The 22,309-nt window shown below is 51.2% G+C and overlaps 2 protein-coding genes across 18 annotated transcripts in view, besides 4 other annotated features; both read left to right on the top strand.

Moving 5' to 3' along the window:
- PEDS1-UBE2V1 (PEDS1-UBE2V1 readthrough) overlaps positions 1-4,397 on the top strand; it is a 72,600-nt gene extending 68,203 nt beyond the window's left edge. Inside the window, exons 7-8 of the mRNA NM_199203.3 lie at positions 1,267-1,392; positions 2,607-4,397. Coding sequence (NP_954673.2) covers positions 1,267-1,392; positions 2,607-2,753 — 273 coding nt within the window. The 3' untranslated portion in view covers positions 2,754-4,397. The remainder of the gene's footprint in view (positions 1-1,266; positions 1,393-2,606) is intronic.
- Positions 1-4,397, top strand: part of UBE2V1 (ubiquitin conjugating enzyme E2 V1) — a 34,834-nt gene extending 30,437 nt beyond the window's left edge. For 16 of the 17 annotated variants that reach the window (NR_047554.2, NM_022442.6, NM_001257393.2 and 13 more), the window contains 2 exons: positions 1,267-1,392; positions 2,607-4,397. Coding sequence is in view for 16 of the 17 variants with exons in the window: in NM_022442.6 (NP_071887.1) it covers positions 1,267-1,392; positions 2,607-2,753 (273 nt within the window). In the remaining variant the exon portion in view is untranslated. The remainder of the gene's footprint in view (positions 1-1,266; positions 1,393-2,606) is intronic. The other variant, NM_001257396.2, reaches the window with a different exon arrangement.
- Positions 11,446-11,955: an enhancer, noted in NCBI's record as "H3K27ac-H3K4me1 hESC enhancer chr20:48690103-48690612 (GRCh37/hg19 assembly coordinates)". NCBI's record gives its function as "activates a minimal SCP1, AML or CMV promoter by ChIP-STARR-seq in naive H9 embryonic stem cells {active_cell/tissue: H9 hESC(naive)}" and the evidence as "EXISTENCE:reporter gene assay evidence [ECO:0000049][PMID:30033119]".
- Positions 11,956-12,465: an enhancer, noted in NCBI's record as "H3K27ac-H3K4me1 hESC enhancer chr20:48689593-48690102 (GRCh37/hg19 assembly coordinates)". NCBI's record gives its function as "activates a minimal SCP1, AML or CMV promoter by ChIP-STARR-seq in naive H9 embryonic stem cells {active_cell/tissue: H9 hESC(naive)}" and the evidence as "EXISTENCE:reporter gene assay evidence [ECO:0000049][PMID:30033119]".
- Positions 13,962-14,201: a silencer, noted in NCBI's record as "silent region_13012". NCBI's record gives its function as "represses an Ori minimal core promoter by ATAC-STARR-seq in GM12878 lymphoblastoid cells {active_cell/tissue: GM12878}" and the evidence as "EXISTENCE:reporter gene assay evidence [ECO:0000049][PMID:35858748]".
- Positions 20,383-20,560: a silencer, noted in NCBI's record as "fragment chr20:48681498-48681675 (GRCh37/hg19 assembly coordinates)". NCBI's record gives its function as "represses an EF-1alpha promoter that drives an FKBP-Casp9 reporter gene in an ReSE screen in K562 erythroleukemia cells {active_cell/tissue: K562}" and the evidence as "EXISTENCE:reporter gene assay evidence [ECO:0000049][PMID:32094911]".

The raw sequence follows: 22,309 nt of genomic DNA, 5'->3' as shown, positions 1-22,309 counted from the left end.
ACAGAGAGGGGAGCCCCTGCCTTTGAGGGGGTTACTCTTTACTGGGAGACATCACCCTTCAGTGTGGTCTTCAGACACATGTGATAGCAGTGTGACTTCATATGGGATAGAAAGCTAGGGACTAGGTAGTGTTTGAGCTGGGTCTTCAGGGTTGCAAGGCATTTCAGGTGGGGGCAGGACGCTCCAAGCAGAAGGAACAGCCGGGCAACAGAGCGCATCTCCCTGCTTATGGGGTAGATGGTACAGTGAAGAGGTTATTGGCATAGGGGGTTGGACTTTTCAGTGTTTCTCAACAAAGGCACAGTTAGCCTTTTAAAGAAGGACGGTTTTTGGCTGGGTACGGTGGCTCATGCCTGTAATCCCAGCACTTTGGGAGGCCGAAGAGGGCAGATCAGCTGAGGTCAGGAGTTCGAGACCAGCCTGACCAACATGGAGAAACCCTGTCTCTACTAAAAATACAAAATTACCCGGCCATGGTGGCACATGCCTGTAATCCCAGCTACTCAGGAGACAGGAGAGTCACTTGAACCCGGGAGGCGGAGGTTGCGGTGAGCCGAGATCGCACCATTGCACTCCAGCCTGGGCAACAAGAGCAAAACTCTGTCTCAAAAAAAAAAAAAAAAAAAAAAGACTGCTTTTCCCTGTGCTGCCTCACCCATTGAATGCCAGTAATCTCTCAGGTCAGACTACCAAAAAAAAAAAAAAAGACTGCAGGGAGGGATGGAACACCCCAGTTGAAATCCCTTACCCAGTGCCTAACCCCGGAGTGATGGAGAAGGGGGAAGCAGCTCTGAGTCTGCACCCCTCCCTCGTCTTGTCTTAATTTTGAGGTTCTCTAAAGCAGTGACCTGTTCTGTGCTTTAATACCACATAGTGTTATTTAACTGATTGGCTGATGATCCTGGTGAGTGGACATTTAACTCGGCTTCCTAGAATAGAGAATGCCTCTTACCATTCCCCAGAGAAGGACTGCAAAGTAGAGAAATTAACATAAAAACAGGTCCCTCTGATTAGACTTAATACTAAAAACTTCACTGGTACTAGCTTAAATGCTCCATCTTCTTTGTATTCCCCCAAGGCCCGGAAGTCATATAAACTAGTGTAGGAACTAGTATAGAACTGCTGACCTACCACAGAACAAGTAGACTCCATGCTGGAAGCAGATGTACCAGTTCTACAGTCAGGGATAAATGGGGTTTCACAAGCTCTACCTTTTTGAATGCTTTGTTTGTAATTGCGTGACATCTCCGTACTCTTTTTTTCCAGACAATTTATGAAAACCGAATATACAGCCTTAAAATAGAATGTGGACCTAAATACCCAGAAGCACCCCCCTTTGTAAGATTTGTAACAAAAATTAATATGAATGGAGTAAATAGTTCTAATGGAGTGGTAAGTTGTTTTCTCTGTCCCACTTGTTCCTTGGAGTTGACAGTTGCTTTGTACTTAACATCAGGAGCTTTTAGACTGGGCCCAATTCCTAGGTTCTTTGGTTATTTGTTGATAAACTGTATCACTGTGCATAGGAGCACAGATTTGGGATGGGGCCTGTTTCCCAATTATATCTGGCGATCACTCATATAGCACTTACCCTGGGCTAGTTCTGTGCTGGTCGCTTTGAAATATGAGCTCTTTCCTCATGCCACCCCAGTGAGGTAGAGATGAGGAAACTGAGGCACAGACGTGGAAGATCTTTCCCAGGGCTACACCTTTACCCCCCTGGGCCTTATTTGTGAACCACTGGCATGTAATATTTTTTTCCTTTAATGGCCTTGCTTTTTTATTTTTACTACCATAAATGAAAAACCTGTCTCAGTTGTCATAACTGGGCAATAATGGCAACAGTAAATATTACAAAAACAGAGCAATGTTAATAAATCTTGACTCCATGTGTCATTTGCCAAAAGCTTTGAGCCTTTGAGGCCTGCTCTCCTGTTCAAAGAGGAGATCAGCAAGTGTTGAAGGGATGCTACACATGTTAACGTCACGCCAAGCCTTCGTCTTTGAGATACTCAGAAGACTGGAAAATTGAAAAGAGATGAGCTTTGTTACAGTGTGTTTAGTGTTTAATCCTGAATCTGAGTTCCACCTAAAGTCCTGAGCCCAGAGCTCAACCTGTGCTTTGGGGAATTTATTTTGGGAAATGCTGCCTTAACCTGAGAGGTGCTGGCTCTGTGGCAGGCCCTTGTCACTGGAGCAGGTGTCCTGGCCACCCTTTGCCTTGGCTGTCCGTACTGCCCTGCATGCACATCTGTCCCCCTGACCTGGGCGCAGTGAAGAGGACAGGTCCTGAGCCCGGCAGCCGCCAGCCCAGCAGCGGCCATTATTGAAGAGCCAAGTAGGGCTGGGTTGAGTCTCACCCAAGTGTCAGTACCACCGTTTCCTTATCCCAGATAGTAATGGTTCAGGGCACAAAAGGGAAAGGCAGGCTGACTGGAGGGAGGGACTCTAGCAGGTAGGTATTCCGCATGTAAGGTATTAGGATTAGCAGCAGGTTCAGCTTAAAAAGTACATCTTACTCCAGTTTGCACCTTAGCTTAACCCCGGCATATAGCTATTTTGTTTGAGAGTCTGAGAGTAATTTGCTTTTGTTTGCCTTGTTGTAGGTGGACCCAAGAGCCATATCAGTGCTAGCAAAATGGCAGAATTCATATAGCATCAAAGTTGTCCTGCAAGAGCTTCGGCGCCTAATGATGTCTAAAGAAAATATGAAACTCCCTCAGCCGCCCGAAGGACAGTGTTACAGCAATTAATCAAAAAGAAAAACCACAGGCCCTTCCCCTTCCCCCCAATTCGATTTAATCAGTCTTCATTTTCCACAGTAGTAAATTTTCTAGATACGTCTTGTAGACCTCAAAGTACCGGAAAGGAAGCTCCCATTCAAAGGAAATTTATCTTAAGATACTGTAAATGATACTAATTTTTTGTCCATTTGAAATATATAAGTTGTGCTATAACAAATCATCCTGTCAAGTGTAACCACTGTCCACGTAGTTGAACTTCTGGGATCAAGAAAGTCTATTTAAATTGATTCCCATCATAACTGGTGGGGCACATCTAACTCAACTGTGAAAAGACACATCACACAATCACCTTGCTGCTGATTACACGGCCTGGGGTCTCTGCCTTCTCCCCTTACCCTCCCGCCTCCCACCCTCCCTGCAACAACAGCCCTCTAGCCTGGGGGGCTTGTTAGAGTAGATGTGAAGGTTTCAGGTCGCAGCCTGTGGGACTACTGCTAGGTGTGTGGGGTGTTTCGCCTGCACCCCTGGTTTCTTTAAGTCTTAAGTGATGCCCCTTCCAAACCATCATCCTGTCCCCACGCTCCTCCACTCCCGCCCTTGGCCGAAGCATAGATTGTAACCCCTCCACTCCCCTCTGAGATTGGCCTTCGGTGAGGAATTCAGGGCTTTCCCCATATCTTCTCTCCCCCACCTTTATCGAGGGGTGCTGCTTTTTCTCCCTCCTCCTCAAGTTCCTTTTTGCACCGTCACCACCCAACACCTTCCATGACACTTCCTTGCTTTGGCCAGAAGCCATCAGGTAAGGTTGGAAAGAGCCTCTGACCTCCCTTGTTTAGTTTTGGAACCATACTCACTCACTCTCCACCAGCCTGGGAAATGAATATTGGGTCCTCAGCCCTGCCACCCTCTGCTGTCATCAGCTGATGCATTGTTTTTAGCTCAGGTTTTGATAAGGTGAAAAGAATAGTCACCAGGGTTACTCAGACCTGCCAGCTCTCGGAGTCCTTGGTGGTTGAACTTGGAGAAAGACCGCATGAAGATACTTGTAAGCACACATGATCCCTCTGAATTGTTTTACTTTCCTGTAACTGCTTTTGCTTTTAAAAATTGAAGAAGTTTTAAACAGGGCTTTCATTTGGTCATCCTTGCAATCCATTGGGGTCTAGTTTGGAATCTGACAACTGGAACAAAAAGAACCTTGAATCCGGTGCATGCCTTGGTTTTGGTGCTGCTGCTGCTTCCCAAGATCCTCAGCAGGGATTAAGAAGGAACCCGGTGTGCACAGCAGATCCCCGAAATTGGTGGGCTTGACCTCCTGGCAAATTGCTGCGTCTTTCCACTTGCTGTTCAGGACCACTAAATGCTGAAATGTGGATGCATACCGAAATAAAAGCAATTCATTGTGTACTAAAGGTTTTTTTTTTTTTTTTAATTTAGTATTTGTGTAAAACCACCTTTTGAAGCAGCAACTATCAAGTCTGAAAAGCAATTGATGTTTCCATTAATCTTTTTCTGGGGGGAAAACCTTAGTTCTAAGGATTTAACATCCTGTAAGTGAAGTTTAACATAACAGTATTCCATAAGCAGCCTTTTTATTGTCAGACCATTGCCTGATTTTAATATAATAAAAAAAAAGTGTGCGTTAATATTTAACAGGCTGTACTTTTCTTCCTCTTGGCATATTAGGGACAGAATTTAATGTTTTAGATGCTTTGGGATTCAAATTGACATCCTAAAGCAGGGGTCGGCAAACTTTCTAAAAGGGCCTAAATTAGTAAATATATAGACTTTGCAGGCCAAGAGGCAAAATCTAAGGACATTGTGTAAGTACTTATATTCTGAGAGAAAACAGATTTCCCAAATTTTTAATTGGTGAAATTCAAAGTGGAATTCAGTTTATTTATAATGCTACTGGCCCACTAACGTGAGGACTGGAGTTCTTTTAGGAGATAACATGTTGTTTAACTGGGACTCATTAGTGTTCCCTGTCATCAAGCCTCTTGCAAATGTTCATCTGTAAAAATAATTCTTCATGCTAAAAGCCATACAGAATCAGTCAGTGGGCTAGATTTGGCCCATGGATCATAGTTTGCCAACCCCTGTCCTAAAGATGGTAGGTTTTTGTTTTGTTTTGTTTTGAGACAGAGTTTTGCTCTTGTTGCCCAGGCTGGAGTGCAATGGCGCGATCTCAGCTCACTGCAACCTCCACTTCCCAGATTCAAGCAATTCTGCTTTAGCCTCCCGAATAGCTGGGATTACAGGCACCCGCCACCACACCCAGCTAATTTTTTGTAGTTTTGGTAGAGATGGGGGTTTCACTATGGTGCCCAGGCTGGTCTTGAACTCCTGACCTCAGGTGATCCACCCACCTTGGCTTCCCAAAGTGCTGGAATTACAGGCGTGAGCCACCGTGCCCAGCCCAAGATGGTAGTTTAAAAAAGCGTTCTTCCTTTGATTTAAGTAGCCTCACAGGTCTTGAGCTATTAAGCCTCCACTAGAAGCCATTTATTGGCTGGACTTAGTAGTCTATTCAGAGAAAAAAAAAAATCATCGGATTGTCACATGTATTTCTGATGTTTAAAAAAAATTTTTTTTTGATCTGATGATTAACTATTTGTCTACCATCTACTGCATATGCAGTGGGAACGTGTCTAGTTTTTACCCAGAGTTTGAACTTCTGCTGTAGTCCCAACTACATACAGGTACGATCTTGGTGCCCTGTGGCAGGAGCAGGCTATTCCCTCTGGCTGTTGGGGCCAGCTCAGGTGTGAGAAGAGCTGGCTGTAAGGAAAGGGCCAGGTTCTTCCCAACAGGCCACCCTCCAGAAAGCCCTGCCCAGATTTCTTTGGATGGTCTTTGGAGTCCTCTGCAGGGACTGGTGCCCTTCAGTTCTGAAAGTACATACATTGGGCCAGGGAAAGCTGTGGGTTCTTCATCCTCAGTCAGCCCTCCCAAGGGAGGAGAGGAGAGGTTCCAAAATTATTTCAGGCCAGATATGGTGGCCCACTCCTGTAATCCTAACACTGGGAGGCCAAGGCAGGAGGATCACTTGAGCCCAGGAGTTTGAGACCAGCCTGAGCAACATAGTGAGACCCCTGTCGCTATAAAAAGTTAAAAAATTAGCCAGTGTAGCCGGGCGCGGTGGCTTATGCCTGTAATCACAGCATGTTGGGAGGCCGAGGCGGGCAGATCACGAGGTCAGGAGATCGAGACCATCTTGGCTAACACGGTGAAACCCTGTCTCTACTAACAATATAAAAGATTAGCCGGGTGTGGTGGCAGGTGCTGAGGCAGGAGAATGGCATGAACCCGGGAGGCAGAGTTTGCAGTGAGCCGAGATTGCGCCACTGCACTCCAGCCTGGGCGACAGAGCGAGACTGTCTCAAAAAAAAAAAAAAAAAGGTTAGTAGTGCACGCCTGTAGTCCCTGCTAGTCAGGAGGCTGAGGTGGGAGGATCACTTGAATCTGAGAGGTCGAGGCTGCAGTGAGCCATGATGGTGCCACTGCATCCAGCCTGGGCGACAGACGGAAACCCTGTCTCTAAAAAATAAAATGGCCGGGCGCGGTGGCTCACACCCGTAATCCCAGCACTTTGGGAGGCTGAGGCTGGTGGATCACGAGGTCAGGAGATCGAGACCATCCTGGCTAACACAGTGAAACCCCATCTCTACTAAAAATACAAAAAATTAGCCGGGCGTGGTGGCGGGCACCTGTAGTCCCAGCTACGCCGGAGGCTGAGGCAGGAGAATGACGTGAACCCGGGAGGTGGAGCTTGCAGTGAGCCAAGATCGTGCCACTGCACTCCAGCCTGGGCGACAGAGTGAGACTCCGTCTCAAAAAATAAATAAATAATAAAATGCTGCTGGAAAACCCCAGAACAAATTCGTGGTTAAATCTAAAGGTGGCCTCTTCTGTGCTGAGTTACCCCCAAGAGGAAAACAAATCCTGTCTCAAATCCTAGAGTGTGCACTTTACCTGGCTTCCCTGGGTCACACCTCCGGTCCCCAGCCCCTGCCAGGTTTATATACCAGAGGGGATGCGGGCTGGGTGGACCTGGGCTTAAGGCCTGTGAAACAACACTCAAAACCCTCTGAGACAGTTGTTTGGATCTGTGATCTTGTGGGCACTGTGTCCCACGTTTGTGTAATTTGCTCTTCCTTGGTGGTGGGTTTACAGATGGTCTAAAGTTTATGGACAGAGTTTAAGCCTAGGGCACACAGGAAGTGCTTGTCTGAGGTTCAGATGTTGCCACGTTTTTGTTTTTGTTTTTTTTCCGAGACGGAATCTCTCTCTGTCGCCCAAGTTGGAGTGCAGTGGAGTGGTCTTGGCTCACTGCAACCTCCACCTCTTGGATTCAAGCAATTCTGCCTCAGCTTTCTGAGTAGCTGGGACTACAGGCATGCGCCACCACGCCAAACTAATTTTTTGTATTTTTAGTAGAGACAGGGTTTTACCATGTTGGCCAGGCTGGTCTTGAACTCCTGACCTCAGATGATCTGCCCCCCTCAGCCTCCCAAAGTGCCGTGAGCCACCGCGCCTGGCCAGATGTTGCCACTTTTGCCAGGTGGTTTCCCTGGGTCACACCTCTGGTCTCCAGCCCCTGCCAGGTTTGTGTACCGGAGGGGATGCATCCACTGGTAATTTTCACTGTGTGGAAACTTGTGGTGTGGGGAAACATCTGTCGTTACCTGACAAAGGTCGGGGAGACAGCAGGTGTAGAAAGCACCCCTTCTGGCTGACCAACAGCAAGCCAGCCATGGGGCCCCACTGCCCTGGATCTCTGACTGACTCTGGTCTTGGGGCAAGAGCCAGTTCCTTGGACTGCATCTCCACTGGAGAAAGTTCTCCGGCCCTCTGGGTGGGAGCACTGTTGGCTGTACTGCACCTTTAGCTGTGGTGTTGCATAACGATGTGGATGGCGTCACATAAACGGAGCGGCCCCTGCCTCTGTGCCCCTTTCCACCCTGCCTGTGGATCCCTGCTTGGCCTTTTTTTTTAGACGGAGTTTCAATCTTGTTGCCCAGGCTGGAGTACAATGGCATGATCTCGGCTCACTGCAACCTCTGCGTCCTGGGTTCAAGATATTCTCCTGCCTCAGCCTCCCGAGTAGCTGAGATTACAGGCATGCACCACCATGCCTGGCTAATTTTGTATTTTTATTAGAGACGGGGTTTCTCCATGTTGGTCAGGCTGGTCTCGAACTCCCAACCTTAGGTGATCCGCCCGCCTCGGCCTCCCAAAGTGCTGGGATTGCAGGCATGAGCCACCGCACCCGGCCCCTGCCTGGCCTCTTGCACCTCCCCTCAGAGAACCTTAGGGAGCCCAGGGACAGTCACATTCCCTCTCTTGGCCTGTCCCTTCTTGACGTCACTCCTTCATCACGGAGCCTCATGACAAAGTTCAAGATACAGCATTAGGGATTTCCTTACTTGGCAGAGGAGGAAATTCCTTTAAGAAGAGGCAGCTTGGCTGGGCTCAGTGGCTCACGCCTGTAATCCCAGCACTTTGGGAGGCCAAGGCAGGCAGATCACCTGAGGTCGGGAGTTTGAGACCAGCCTGACCAACACGGAGAAATCCCATCTCTACTAAAAATACAAAATTAGCTGGGTGTGGTGGCACATGCCTGTAATCCCAGCTACTCAGGAGGCTGAGGCAGGAGAATCACTTGAACCTGGGAGGTGGAGGTTGTGGCGAGCCGAGATCACGCCATTGTACTCTAGTCTGGGCAACAAGAGTGAAACTCAGTCTCAAAAAAAAAAAAAAAAAAAGGCAGCTTGTGAAAGCTTCATTCTTTCCAGTTTGCAAGAAACAAGCTGCTGGGGTGGGTGGATTGTACAGAGCTCTGAGCTCCAGAAGATAACAGATCAACCTCAAAGACTTCCTTGTGAGACCTGGGCAAGGTCACCTGCTAGATGCAGTCAGCTGTCACACACGGGCCAAGGTGACCTTGGGAGAGAGGAGACCTTAGGCTAGAGCCACCTCATTGCTGCTGGTGGCCCTGTCACTGTGAGAAGAAGACACGGGCCACATCCTTGGGGTTCTGATATGTGTCTGATGTTATGCAGCTGGGTGGGGACAGGTGAGTGTGAAGGTGTTACTAAGTACTGGGCACATGGGCTGAGTGAATGCCAGATCTTTCTGATTTTCCAAGGAAGCTGTGAAGGCAGATTTGTACGTGAAGTCTCCCTACATTTATGTGTCAATTAACAGAGTTGGCCAGAGGCAGTGGCTCATGCCTATAATCTTAGCACTTTCGGAGGCCAAGGCTGGCAGATCCGTTGAGCCAACAAGTTTGAGACCAGGCTGGGCAACATGGTGAAACCCCGTCTACCAAAAATATAAAAATTAGCCGGGCATGGTGGTGCACGCCTGTAATCCCAGCTACTCGGTAGGCTGAGGCAGGAGAATTGCTTGAACCAGGGATGCAGAAGCTGCAGTGAGCTGGGATCACACCACTGCACTCCAGCCTGGGTGACAGAGTGAGATTCTGTCTAAACAAAGAAAAGAAAAACAAACAAAAAAAGAGGCCGGGTGCAGTGGTTCACGTCTGTCATCCCAGCACTTTAGGAGGCCGAGGCGGGCAGATCACCTGAGTTCAGGAGTTCGAGACCAGTCTGACCAATATGATGAAACTCCGTCTCTACTAAAAATACAAAAATTAGCCAGGCATGGTGGCAGACGCCTGTAATCCCAGCTACTCGGGAGGCTGAGGCAGGAGAATCGCTTGAACCTGGGAGATGGAGGCTGCAGTGAACTGGGCTTGCACCACCGCACTCCAGCCTGGGTGACACAGTGAGACTCCGTCTCAAAAAGAAAATAAAGGGAATAGAGTGCAGGGCAAAGTCTCACCTCTGACCCCGTTCTCCCAAGGCAAGCACCAGTGTGTGAGCCTCTGAGATGGCACAGGCAGCACGCGAGCAAACGCAAGTGCAGCCAGCACCACTCCGCATTCTTTCCCCCTCCCCTCATGCACTTCCCCCACTTTTTTACGCAAATGGGAATGTGATCTCCACTTAGCTCCTCCCCGGGATATTCTTCCCAGTGCCCTGCAGAGCAGCCTTGGGGATCCGCTCCGTAGTTAAGCGCAGCACACCCAGCACATGAAGGGCCACCACCACGGTGGCCAGGCCTGGACTGCTGGGCCTGAGGTGGTCTCTGCTGCTCTGCTGCCCGCTGGCCTCAGGGCATGTGTGTGCATTTGCATACCTCTGTAGAACACAGTTCTAGGAGCAGGTTTCTCCATCCAAGGATACAGGCATATTTTATTTTATTTTATTTATTTTAATTAATTAATTTATTTATTTATTTTATATTTTATTTTATTTTATTATTTTATTTTATTTATTTTATTTTTGAGACAGAGTCTCACTCTGTTGCCCAGACTGGAGTGCAATGGCACTATCCTGGCTCACTGCAACCTACGCCTCCTGGGTTCAAGTGATTCTCCTGCCTCAGCCTCCCGAGTAGCTGGGATTACAGGCGCCTGCCACCATGCCCGGCTAATTTTTGTATTTTTAGTAGAGATGGAGTTTCATCATGTTGGTCAGACTGGTCTCGAATTCCTGAACTCAGGCGATCCGCCTGCCTTGGACTCCTAAAGTGCTGGGATGACAGACGTGAACCACTGCAGCTGGCCTCTTTTTTTTTTCTTTTTCTTTTCTTTTTTTAGATAGAATCTCACTCTGTCACCCAGGCTGGAGTGCAGTGCTGCGATCCCAGCTCACTGCAGCTTCTGCATCCCTGGTTCAAGCGATTCTCCTGCATCAGCCTACCGAGTAGCTGGGGATTACAGGCGTGCACCACCACGCCCGGCTAATTTTTGTATTTTTGGTAGACGGGGTTTCACCATGTTGGCCAGGCTGGTCTCGAACTCCTGACCTCAAATGATCCACCCGCCTTGGACTCCCATGCCCAGTGTATTTTAACTATCTCATTCATTGCAGTAGTTATTCCTTTGTCCCTCTTGCAGGTGGGCGCCTCATCTGGCTTCTTCACTGCCATGAACCCAGTGTTAAAAATAGTGTTGAAGGCTGGGCACAGTGGCTCACGCCTGTAATCCCAGCATTTTGGGAGGCCAAGGTGGGTGGATCACCTGAGATCAGGAGTTCGAGACCAGCCTGGCCAACATGGTGAAACCCCATCTCTACTAACAATACAAAAATTAGCTGGGCGTAGTGGCACGTGCTTGTAATCCCAGCAACTCGGGAGGCTGAGACAGGAGAATCACTTGAACCTGGGTAGCGGAGGTTGCAGTGAGCCAAGATCAAGCCATTGTACCAGCCTGCGTGACAGAGCCAGACTCTGTCTCAAAATATAATAATAATAGGCCTGGCGTGGTGGCTTACGCCTATAATCCCAGCACTTTGGGAGGCAGAGGCGGGTGCATCACTTGAGGTCAGGAGTTCAAGACCAGCCTGATCATCATGGTGAAACCCTGTCTCTACTAAAAATACAAAAAATTAGCTGGGTGTGGTGGTAGGTGCCTGTAATCCCAGCTACTCAGGAGGCTGAGGCAGGAGAATGACTTGGACACAGGAGGCGGATGTTGCAGTGAACCGAGATCGCGCCATTGCACTCCAGCCTGGGAGACAAGAGCAAAACTCTGTCTCAAAATAATAATAATAATAATAATAATAAATAAATAAGTAAATAAAATAAAAAATGGTGTCTAGGCCGGGCACGGTGGCTTAAGTCCGTAATCCCAACACTTTGGGAGGTGAGGTGGGAGGATCACTGAAGCCAGGAGTTCATGACCAGCCTGGCCAACATAGTGAAACCCCGTCTCTACTAAAAATACAAAAATTAGCCAGGCGTGGTGGTGCACACCTGTAATACCAGCTACTCCGGAGGCTGAGGCAGGAGAATCACTTGAACTCGGGAGGCGGAGGTTGCATGGAGCCAAGATCACACCATTGCACTCCAGCCTGGGTGACAGAGTGAGACCCTGTCTCAAAGAACAAAACAACAACAACAACAAACAGTGTCCAGCACAAAGTCTGACTGTGTAAACTGAATGAATGAATCACTCCTCAGGGCTGGGCCTGGCCTTCCTCTCTTGGTGGGTCACATGGACCTGTGAGGCCACTGGCAGTGACAAGGGAGGGGTCCCAGTGGCCCCGTGGGGCCTCCTGTTCCCTCTGCCCTGCATGCAGGGAAGCTGGGTGGCTGGGTCAGGGGGCAACAGATGGACTGGCTCAGAAGCCTGGCCTTCCCTGGCAGGAATTTTGAGAATCAGATCTGAGCAAGTCCCCCTTACACCCATTGCCAGCCATGAAAGAGAGCAGACGGGGGTTCCACGACCCAGGGTTGTCCATGGTGGGCAGGAAGCTAAGATGGAAGCCACTGCTTTCTGATTGGCCAGGGAAGGCCTGTGCCTCAGATTCTTCAGGGTCACCAGCAGAATCCAGAGAAAGCACAGGCCACAGTGGCTTGGAGGATCCTGGAGAGGCCACCCACCTTCTTCAGAAGCTGATGGCACCTTCATTCCCTAGGCCTGGCCCTGGGGCTGGCTTCATCTTGGGGTTCCCAGTGGGAGATTCTAGTGCCCCTGCCAGGAACCAGGGGAACTGATGTGGCATGCCAAGGACATTGATTAATATAACAGTGATGTCAATACCTCACCCTCAGTCCAGGATGCTGTCTGATAGGTGACAACTGATACTGGTTGGGTAGGTGTGGTGATATGAGATTTCCCACCACCCCCCCTTTTTTTTTTTTGAGATGGAGTCTCGCTCTGTGGCCCAGGCCAGAGTGCAGTGGCGCGATCTCGGCTCACTGCAGCCTCTGCCTCCCATGTTCAAGCGATTCTCCCACCTCAGCCTCCCAAGTAGCTGGGACTACAGGTGCGCAACACCATGCCCGGCTAATTTTTATATTTTTAGTAGAGACAGAGTTTCACCATGCCGAAATTCCCTTTTAAAAATACCCTTCGGCAGGCGGGCACGGTGGCTCATGCCTGTAATCCCAGCACTTAGGGAGGCCCAGGTGGGCAGATCACTTGAGGTCAAGGAGTTTGAGACCAGCCTGGCCAACATGGTGAAACCCCGACTCTACTAAAAATACAAAAATTAGCTGGCCATGGTGGTGCGTGCCTGTAATCCCAGCTACTAGGGAGGCTGAGGCAGGAGAATCACTTGAATCTGGAAGACGGAGGTTGCAGTGAGCCGAGATTGTGCCACTGCACTCCAGCCTGGGAGACAGAGTGAGACTGCATCTCAAAAAACAAACAAACAACAAAAAAAACCCAGCAACTTTGTCTTGGCACAGTGGTTCATGCCTGTAATCCCAGCACTCTGGGAAGCCAAGGTGGGCAGATCACTTGAGTCCAGGAGTTTGAGACCAGCCTGGGCAACACGGCAAAACCCCCTCTCTACAAAAAATACAAAAATTAGCTGGGCATGGTGTTGCACACCTGTAGTCCCAGCTACTCGGGAGGCTGAGGTGGGAGGATCGCTTGAGCCCAAGAGGTGGAGGTTGCAGTGGGCCGTGATTGTGCCACTGCACTCCAGCCTGGGCAACACGGCGAGACTCTGTCTCAATAAATAAATAAACATATACATAGATATAGATATAGATATAGATATACACATATATATATACACTTAAGTAAAAACCAATTATCTAGGAGCAAATGTCAAGTAAAAGTACAGGTAGGGCTCAGATGCGGCAAAAAATCATGTTGGGGTAGGAGCCTGAGTAACATCAGCGAGCGCATACAGGTTTATCCTTTGGCCTCTGGCCCAGCTGTTAATGATATATTCATGTTTATTATCTGCCCCCTCCCACCCCCACTAAAATGTCAGCTTCAAGAGGGTAGGGATGAGGCCAATTGTGTTCACGGCTGTGTTCCTGCCATCTCACACAATGTTGGGCATACAGTAGGTGTTCAGTGAATACTTGTGAATGGGTGAATGGCTGGCTGGAAGGCCATGCATGAGTGAATGAGCGGAGGTGACACCTTCACATCCTCTCTCCGCCTCGGTGGATGCCAGTGCAGGCCCAGGAGTCAGCCGTTTCCACTACCAGCTGTGTGGCCCCGGGAGGGCTCCTTAACCTCTCTGTGCGTTTCCGTTGCCATTTCGCCGGGTTATTCTAAGGATTACGTGTGGTTTTACATGGTGTGGGCTTCTTGCAGTCCTCGGCACGGAGCACCCCTCCGTAAATGTTATTTCGCTATTGTTCTTTCCTTTCCTTTCGGTGTATTCTGCTTATGTATTCGCTATTGCTCTTCCCCATCTCACCGACCAGAAGAGTGAAGCTCCTCCCCGCTCTCCTGGCGCCCGGCTTCCCCGTTCTGGCTCGGGCCTGCACGCCCGCCCTTGGCCAGCAGAGGGCGCTAGCGCTCTAGGGACCAACGCTCCGGCTGGGCCGGGCCACGCGTCATCTCTCAGCCGACCCGAGGCTGGGGCTGGAGGAGGGGACAGGCGTGACCGCCGGGGCAGGGGTGGACCACCGGACATCTGGGTGTGTGCCTTTGGCACAGCGGGAGCCTGCTGGAGGCTCCCAAAGCGGAGTGGGCAAGCTTTTTCCCCCAGTGCGCTTCCAACCCTTTTTCTTTCTTTCTTTCTTTCTTTTTTTTTTTTTTTTTTGCGACAGGGTCTCTTGTCGCCCAGGCTGGAGTGCAGTGATGCGATCACGGGTCACTGCAGCCTCCAACTCCTGGCCTCAAGCGATTCTCCTTCCTCAGCCTCCCGGGTAGCTGGGACTACAAGTGGGCGCCACCACGCCCAACTAATTATTTATTCATTTAGAGACAGGGTCTCACTCTGTCACCCAGGCTGGGGTGCAGTGGCATGATCAAGTCTCATTGCAGCCTCAACCTCCTCCTCAAGCAATCCTCCTGCCTCAGCCTCCTGAGTAGCTGGGACTACAGGTGCAGGCCACTGGCCAATTAAAAAATATTTTTTTTTTTAATTAGCCGGACGTGGTGGCGGGTGCCTGTAGTCCCAGCTACTCAGGAGGCTGAGGCAGGAGAATGGCGTGAACCCGGGAGGCGAGCTTGCAGTGAGCTGAGATCACGCCACCGCACGGCAGCCTGGGTGACTGAGCGAGACTCAGTCTCAAAAAAAAAAAATTTTTTTTAGTAGAGACAGGGTCTCGCTGTGTTGCCCCGGCTGGTCTCAAACTCCTGGGCTCAAGTGATCTTCCTGCCTTGGCCTCCTAAAGTGCTGGGATTACAGGCGTAAGCCACCATGCCTGGCCTCCAACCCATTTTTTGCCAAGGACCAGCTGAGACTCAGAAAGGGTTGTCCAAGGTCACCCAGCAGGTGGGGGTAGTGGGGGTCATGCTGTGAATACAAGGCTTTGAAGCTCACATACCTCAAGGACCTGATAGGGGCTGTGGAGAACACAGGACTGACCACCTTTGCCTCTAGAATGCTGGCCCACATGGCCAAATCTTCCAAGTCTTCAAGAGAGACAGGGACATCAGGATGTAGTGAAATGTCTCGATTTTTATGGTAGCAATGAATTAAAGGCTTTGTTTGTTTTTGTAGAGCCAGGGTCTCATTATATTGCCCAGGCTGGTCTTGAACCCTTGGCCTCAAGCGATCCTCCCGTCTTGGCCTCCCAAAGTGCTGGAATTACAGGCGTGAGCCACCACTTCTAGCCTTATTTGTTTATTTATTTATTTTGAGATGGAGTCTTGCTCTGTCGCCAGGCTAAAGTCCAGTGGCGCTATCTCGGCTCTCTGCTACCTCCACCTCCCGGGTTCAAGCGATTCTTCTACCTCAGCCTCCCAAGTAGCTGGGACTACAGGTGTGCACCACCACACCCGGCTACTTTTTGTATTTTTAGTAGAGATGGGGTTTCACCATATTGCCCAGGCTGGTCTCAAACTCCTGACCTCAGGTGATCCGCCCACCTTGGCCTCCCAAAGTGCTGAGATTACAGGCATGAGCCACCATGCCTGGCCGCCTTTTTTATTTTTAATCACAGTTTCCACCTCTGAGCAACCTTGGAGGTAGCTCACCTCTTCCTCCCTTGGAGGAAGGTGTTTTGAAACAAAACCATCCCCCTGGTTTCTTCACCTGCCTGCCTGAGCTTCTTTAGGCTTCAGTTTACCAGTGACTGCATCTTCCAGGACTGCGCTACCCAGGACATCCCCTCCCTCTGGGTTAGGAGCCAGTCTCCATCCCTGAGCTTCCCCAGTAGAGCTTCCATTTGTTCATTTGTCCATTCATTCATTCAACAAGCATTCATTGAGTGTTTACTGTGTGCCAAATACCGTGTGTAGGGACATGCAGTGATGAGACAAAACCCTCCCTTCGTGGAGCTGATATTTGAATGGGGGAGTTAGACAACAGACAAAGAAGGAAATGCACTAGGTTCTTTTCCAGGCGTTCAGCACATACCCAAGTAAAGGAACAGAGGGCAGGCAGGCAGCAGTGGGCAGGGGGCCTCTTGGAGGAGGTGACCCCAAGTGAGGAGGAGCTGCCAGCCCTGGAGTCTGGTAGGTATTGTTCCAGGCCAAGAGAACAGCAAGAGCAGAGGCCCTGGGCGGTAAGATGCAAGTCACATTATCACATTAAGTCCACAGCACAGGGGCTGGGCGCAGTGGCTCACACCTGTGATCCCAGCACTTTGGGAGGCCGAGGCAGGTGGATCACCTGAGGTCAGGAGTTCGAGACCAGCCTGGCCAACATGGCGAAACCCTGTCTCTACTAAAAATGCAAAAATTAGCTGAGCATGGTGGTGGGCACCTGTAATCCCAGCTACTCAGGAGGCTGAGGCAGGAGAATCGCTTGAACCTGGGAGGTGGAGGTTGCACTGAGCCGAGATCATGCCACTACACTCCAGCCTGGGTAACAGAGCTAGACTCTGTCTCAAAAAAGAGTCTGCAGCACATGGCATGCAATAGACACTCTGTAAACAGATGGATAAATGGACAGATGGATAAATGGACAGATGGATAAATGGACACATGGATGAGCTTGTGGCCTTGGCAGCCCCCTCTCTTGGCTTGGTTGCCCACATCTCGCCCTGGGGGTGGACATGGACACCGCCTGGCACAAGGAAGTGGCTCAGTCAGCTCCGGGGCTCCCTGAGCTGCACCCCAGCCCAGAGTGGGGGTCTCCCCTCCCAACAGCAGCAGGAGCTGTGGACTGGCTGCCACGCCCCAGCCATTCACAATCTGGGGGACACTTCCCCTGACCTGGTCCAAATCCCAGCTCTCCAGGGTCACCCTGACCTACAGACCTGACCACTCTGAACCTCAGGCAAGGCCACCATCTGCCCACGCCAGCCCTGCCTCTTTCATACTCTTCCCTGCCCCCAGTGGCTCAGGCGCCCAAGCCATGGGTTCCTTGGAATGTAATTCTTTTTCTTCCCAGAAGCCTGGGCCGTTCACTTCCGGCCACACTGCCCTTGGTGCCTTCCTGACCCTTTGCTTTACAAACCTGACACGGTGGCCAGAGGCTTAAAGCCGGACCCAGCCACACCACCTGGCCTCCCCATCGTGCCATGGCCCATCTGTCAGCATCCTGCCCTGGGAATCTGACTGTAGACACCAGGACCCTCCACAGCCGTTTCCCACAAACCCCTGCTGGGAACATGCCTACCTGGCTGTGCCATCCAAAGGGCACTGCCCTCTACAGCTTACAGGCTGATTCCAAATCCTAGAGCTCCCGCTTCACCAGGGGCATGTTGGTATCCACACTCCAGAGCTGCCCATTCCACAGATATTTAATGAGCAGCTACCGTGTGCCCAGCACTGCCCTAGGCCCAGCAGACACAGCGGGGAACAAAATAGTCAGAAAACGCGGCCCTCGTGAAATGGATGTTCTGGGAATGGTGACAGTCAGGGCAAAGGACTAGGGAGAAACAGTAAACAGATGAAAAAGTAAACCATGTAGAAGATGAGATGGTGATAAATGCTATAGAGGGAAACAAGGCAGGGAGGGGGATAGGGGATGGGGTGGGGCAGAGGTGCCATTGAAAATTGGAATGGGGGCAGGTGCCTGATGCTTGAGAAGTGGCATTTGAGCAAAGACCTGCAGGAGGTGAGGGAGTGAGGCATGTGGACATCTGGGGGAAGAATGTGTCCTGCAGAGGAAGCAGCCAGTGCAAATGCCGTGAGGCAGGAGCATGCCTAATTTGTTGGAGAAACAACCAGGAGGCCAGTGTGGCTGGAGCAGAGTACAGGGTCAGGGAGGGAGGAGGAGGCTTAGGAGATGGGGTGGGGGAGGGGTAGTGGTGGGGCAGATCCTACAGGGCCTTTCAAAGATCCATCTTTTTCTCCAAGGGAGATGGGAACCATTGCAGAGGAGGGACGCATGTGCTCCAGGTTTTTACCTCTAGCTTCCCTCTAGCTTCCTGCAGAGAACAGACCACGGGGCATTGCTGGAAGCAGGCAGTTGACTGCAGTAGACCAGAGGGGCAGAGGATGGCACTGGACCTGGTGTTCCAGAAGAGGTAAGAACTGATCAGTGGCCGGGCACAGTGGCTCGTGCCTATAATGCCAGCACTTTGGGAGGCCGAGGTGAGAGGATCACTTGAGGCCAGGAGTTCAAGACCAGCCTGAGCAACATAGCAACAGAATGAGACTCCAGCTCCCGCATTTCCTTGATTCCGGAATGCATGCCTTTCCTGTGGCCTCTTAGACTTCCATGCAATGCAGAACGCTCAGACCAGGGAGCCCACAGGACTCAGAAGTGAGAGGGTAAGAGGGGGAAAGGAGCTGGGGGACTCCCAGGTTTTGGCCTAGCCCAGGGGAGGCTCAGGAAGAGCCAGTTTGTGGGGGCCTTCCGGTGCTGGGTGGGAGTGTGTTAAACTACGATGCCTGTGAGACCCTCAGATCAGGGGCTCAAGGAGGCTGGCCAGTCCAGAGTGACCTGGGGACAGGCACCAGAGTGGCCCCTGTGGAAATGGAGTTTAAGGTGTGAGGCTGTACTCCCAGGGAGGGTGTGGATGGAAGAAAGGAGGCCTTTGTTCAGATTAGGAAAAGTCTCCCCTCCGGCAGGCACGGCCCACCTGGGCAGACGACCTGGGAGCCATCACCCTCCCACCTCTCCTGGTGGGTGCAGCACTGTGCCAGGCATTGGGTGCAAAACACATCACTGACTGGATGCCAAGTTACACTCAGCCCTCCACTGTATGGTCCTGGGGTCTTCTGATGTCAACAGGATGAAACTGAGGCCCAGAAAGGCCAAGTGGCTTGCCCAAGATCACACAGCTTTGAGCCACAAAGTGAGATTCCACTCTGATCCCTGTGACCTTGAGCCAGTGGCCTTAGCTGCCCCTCTGCCACCCACCATGACGATAAATTAGCTACTTCTAGCCTGGCAAGGTCAACAGAGGACTTTACTTACCCTGATGAGCTGAGGTGCCTGAAGTGCCTCACAGCCACCATCTCACTTTGCTCCCAACCATTCCTTGGTAGTGTTGGTGGCCCCATTTCACAGATGAGGACACTGAGGCTCCAAGAGTCTCTGTCACTAGCTCAGGGTGACCCACCAGAGCTGGGATCTGAACCCAGGACTGGCAGCACCCAGCAACCAGTGCTAAGTACAGAGCGTTCCAGATGGGGTCAGAGATGTGAGGCAAACCAAGAATGACAGTCAAGACTTAACGAGCGGCCGGGCGCAGTGGCTCACGCCTGTAATCCCAGCACTTTGGGAGGCCAAGACAGGCAGATCACCTAAGGTCAGGAGTTTGAGATCAGCCTGGCCAACATGGCGAAACCCCATCTCTACTAAAAATACAAAAGTTAGCCGGGTGTGGTGGCGCATGCCTGTAATCCCAGCTACTCAGGAGGCTGAGGAAGGAGAATCGCTTGAATCTGGGAGGCAGAGGTTGTAGTGAGCCAAGATCGCACCACTGCACTCCAGCCTGGGCAACAAAGTGAGACTCCATCTCAAAAAGAAAAAAAAAAAAAAAGACGTAATGAGCACCTTCTCTATGCTGAGCTCATTATAAAGCAATTCATGGACTCTCCCCCAGCCCTGAGATCGGAACTATTAATCAAACCGATCTTACAGAAGAGGAAACTGAGGCATCAATGACTTGCCAGGAGAAGGTCTGTTGGCCCCTGCAGGTTCCTCTACCCCCACCGACCCTGTCCTTCCCAAAGGCCCCAAGGTGGTGGAAGAGGTCAGGCAGTGCTGGGTGACCCTGGGAAGGCTGCTGGCCCCTGGGCCTCTGTCTCCTCACCCTGACCACAGGCAATGACCCAGATCCCTGAGTTCCCCCACCCTGAAGAACCCAGCCCCAGGAGGAGGACTCCAACCCTCCTGCTCACTGTCAGCCAGGCCGAATCCATTAGGCTGATGCCCTGTGACATTTTTGCCCAAGGTCATTGCTTCCTATGAAATCATACACACCAGACCCTGAAGCCTGGCCAAACAGGGACCCTGGGAGGCCACTGAGCCCTACCAGCCGGCCAGGCTGCATGGACACCAGCTGCGTGTGGTGGTCTCTGTGTCCCACTGAAGCTCTGCTCAGATAAATCACAAAGCAGCCTCAGCTCACAGAACCCCTAGTAAAGTCCTGGTGTGCGGGGGTGCTGGGGTGGCAAAGACCCTGAGGCTCAGAGAGGGGCTCCATTTGCCCAAAGATGCACAGCTGGGGAGTGGGCTGATGGGGGCTGGAATGGAGTCTGAGAGATTTGGGATTATCCGCTCTCAGCTGGGCTGCAAACCAGACACAACTGTTGCGGCCCCAGGTCTCGGAGGGCCCTGGAGACAGATGCAGGGGTTCTTGAGTCTGGGGGAGCAGCTGCCACTGTGTGTGTGCGTGTTTGTGTGTGTGTGGGGGTGTGTAGGTGTGTGTCCAAACACACATATGCATGTCCACAAGCCATATAAGATACTGAATGGGTAAAACAAGGATTCCTGAGCAGGCAGTCTGTATTTAAATCCCAGCCCGTGATTTACTGCTGTGTGACTTTAGGCAAACAACCCCACCTCTGGATGGAAGGAGAAAGGGAGGCCTTTGTTCAGATTAGCGAAAGGTCCGCCTCCTGCAGACATGGCCCACTTGGGTAGACAACCTGGGAGCCATCACTCTCCCACATCAGGGGTGTCCTTATTTGTGTAATGGGAATGAGCGGCCCCTCTGTGTGTGCCTGGGAGGGAGCTGTCAGCCTTGGGCCCTGGCCCTGCAGCCCCTGGGCCTCCTTCAGCAGAGTCCTCCCTGCAGTGGCTGCTGCAGGGGACGGCGGGTGCAGGGCCTCTTCCTCTCACCCTGCCTCTCTCCCTTCCTTTAAAAATTTATTTTTTATTAATTTATTTTTTGAGACAGAGTCTCGCTCTGTCGCCCAGGCTGGAGTGCAGTGGCGCGATCTCAGCTCACTGCAAGCTCCGCCTCCCCGGTTCACGCCACTCTCCTGCCTCAGCCTCCTGAGTAGCTCACGCCTGTAGTCCCAGCACTTTGGGAGGCTGAGGCAGGCAGATCACATGAGGTCAGGAATTTGAGACCAGCCTGGCCAACATGGTGAAACTCCGTCCCTACTAAAAAAACAAAAATTAGCCAGGCCTGGTGGTGCACGCCTGTAATCCCAGCTACTCGGGAGGCTGAGGCAGGAGAATCGCTTGAACCCAAGAGGTGGAGGTTGCAGTGAGCCGAGATCGCCCCACTGCACTCCAGCCTGGGTGGCAGAGTAAGACTCCATCTGAAGAAAAAAAAATGGGGGTCTTGCTCTGTTGCCCAGGCTGGAGTGCAGTGGCGTGATCACTGCTCACTGCAGCCTCGACCTCCCGGGCCCAAGTGATGCTCCCACCTCAGCCTCCCAAGTAGCTGAGACCACAGGCTCATGCCACCATGCCTGGCTAATTTTGCATTTTTTGTAGAGATGGGGTCTTGCTGTGTTGTCCAGGCTGGTCTTGAACTCCTGAGCTCAGGTAGTCCTCCGTCTTGGCCTCCCAAAGTGCTGGGATTAAAGGCGTAAGCCACTGGGCCCAACCCCTCACTTCCTTCCCACCTGCTCAACCCCTCTTGATTCCTTATCCTGCTCTTGGGGGCCCCTGGTGCAGAAGTGGTCCAGACAGGGGGTACCCTGAGGAGCCACCGGGGGGCCTGACCCAGAGGGGACGACATCTGCAGCCCTGGTTATGGAGCCACACTGGGTTCCAGAGGTTTACCCCTGGAATTCTGGAACCCTGTCCAGTCTCTGAGCCTCAGTTTCCCCATCTGTACAAGGGCAAAGACAGGGGAAAGCCCCAGCCAATGGACCTGTGACAGCTCCTGGCTCAGGTCACGGATGCCAGCATCACCCCATTATCACTCATGGTACTGCTCTCTCTCCTTCATCCCAGCCCAAGAACATGGATTCGCCTAAGTTCAATGCATGTGTGATGTCACCCAGCTGTATTTTTTATGAGAAAATGCTAAATAGGTATGTAAATAAATAAACAATTTTAAAATTTCTTCCTGCTGACAGGTCAACAAACGTCGTTGTTGTTGTTGTTGTTTTGAGACGGAGTCTTGCTCTGTCGCCCAGGCTGGAGTGCAGTGGCGCGATCTCGGCTCACTGCAACCTCCACCTCTCAAGTGATTATCCTGCCTCAGCCTCCCAAGTAGCTGGGATTATAGGCACGCACCACCAAGCCTGGCTAATTTTTGTATTTTTA

This window comes from Homo sapiens, chromosome 20 (genome assembly GCF_000001405.40).
Source record: "Homo sapiens chromosome 20, GRCh38.p14 Primary Assembly".
NCBI classification, from domain to species: domain Eukaryota; kingdom Metazoa; phylum Chordata; class Mammalia; order Primates; family Hominidae; genus Homo; species Homo sapiens.
Note: the sequence above shows the minus strand (reverse complement) of the source record. Positions and strands in the feature narration are given on the sequence as shown.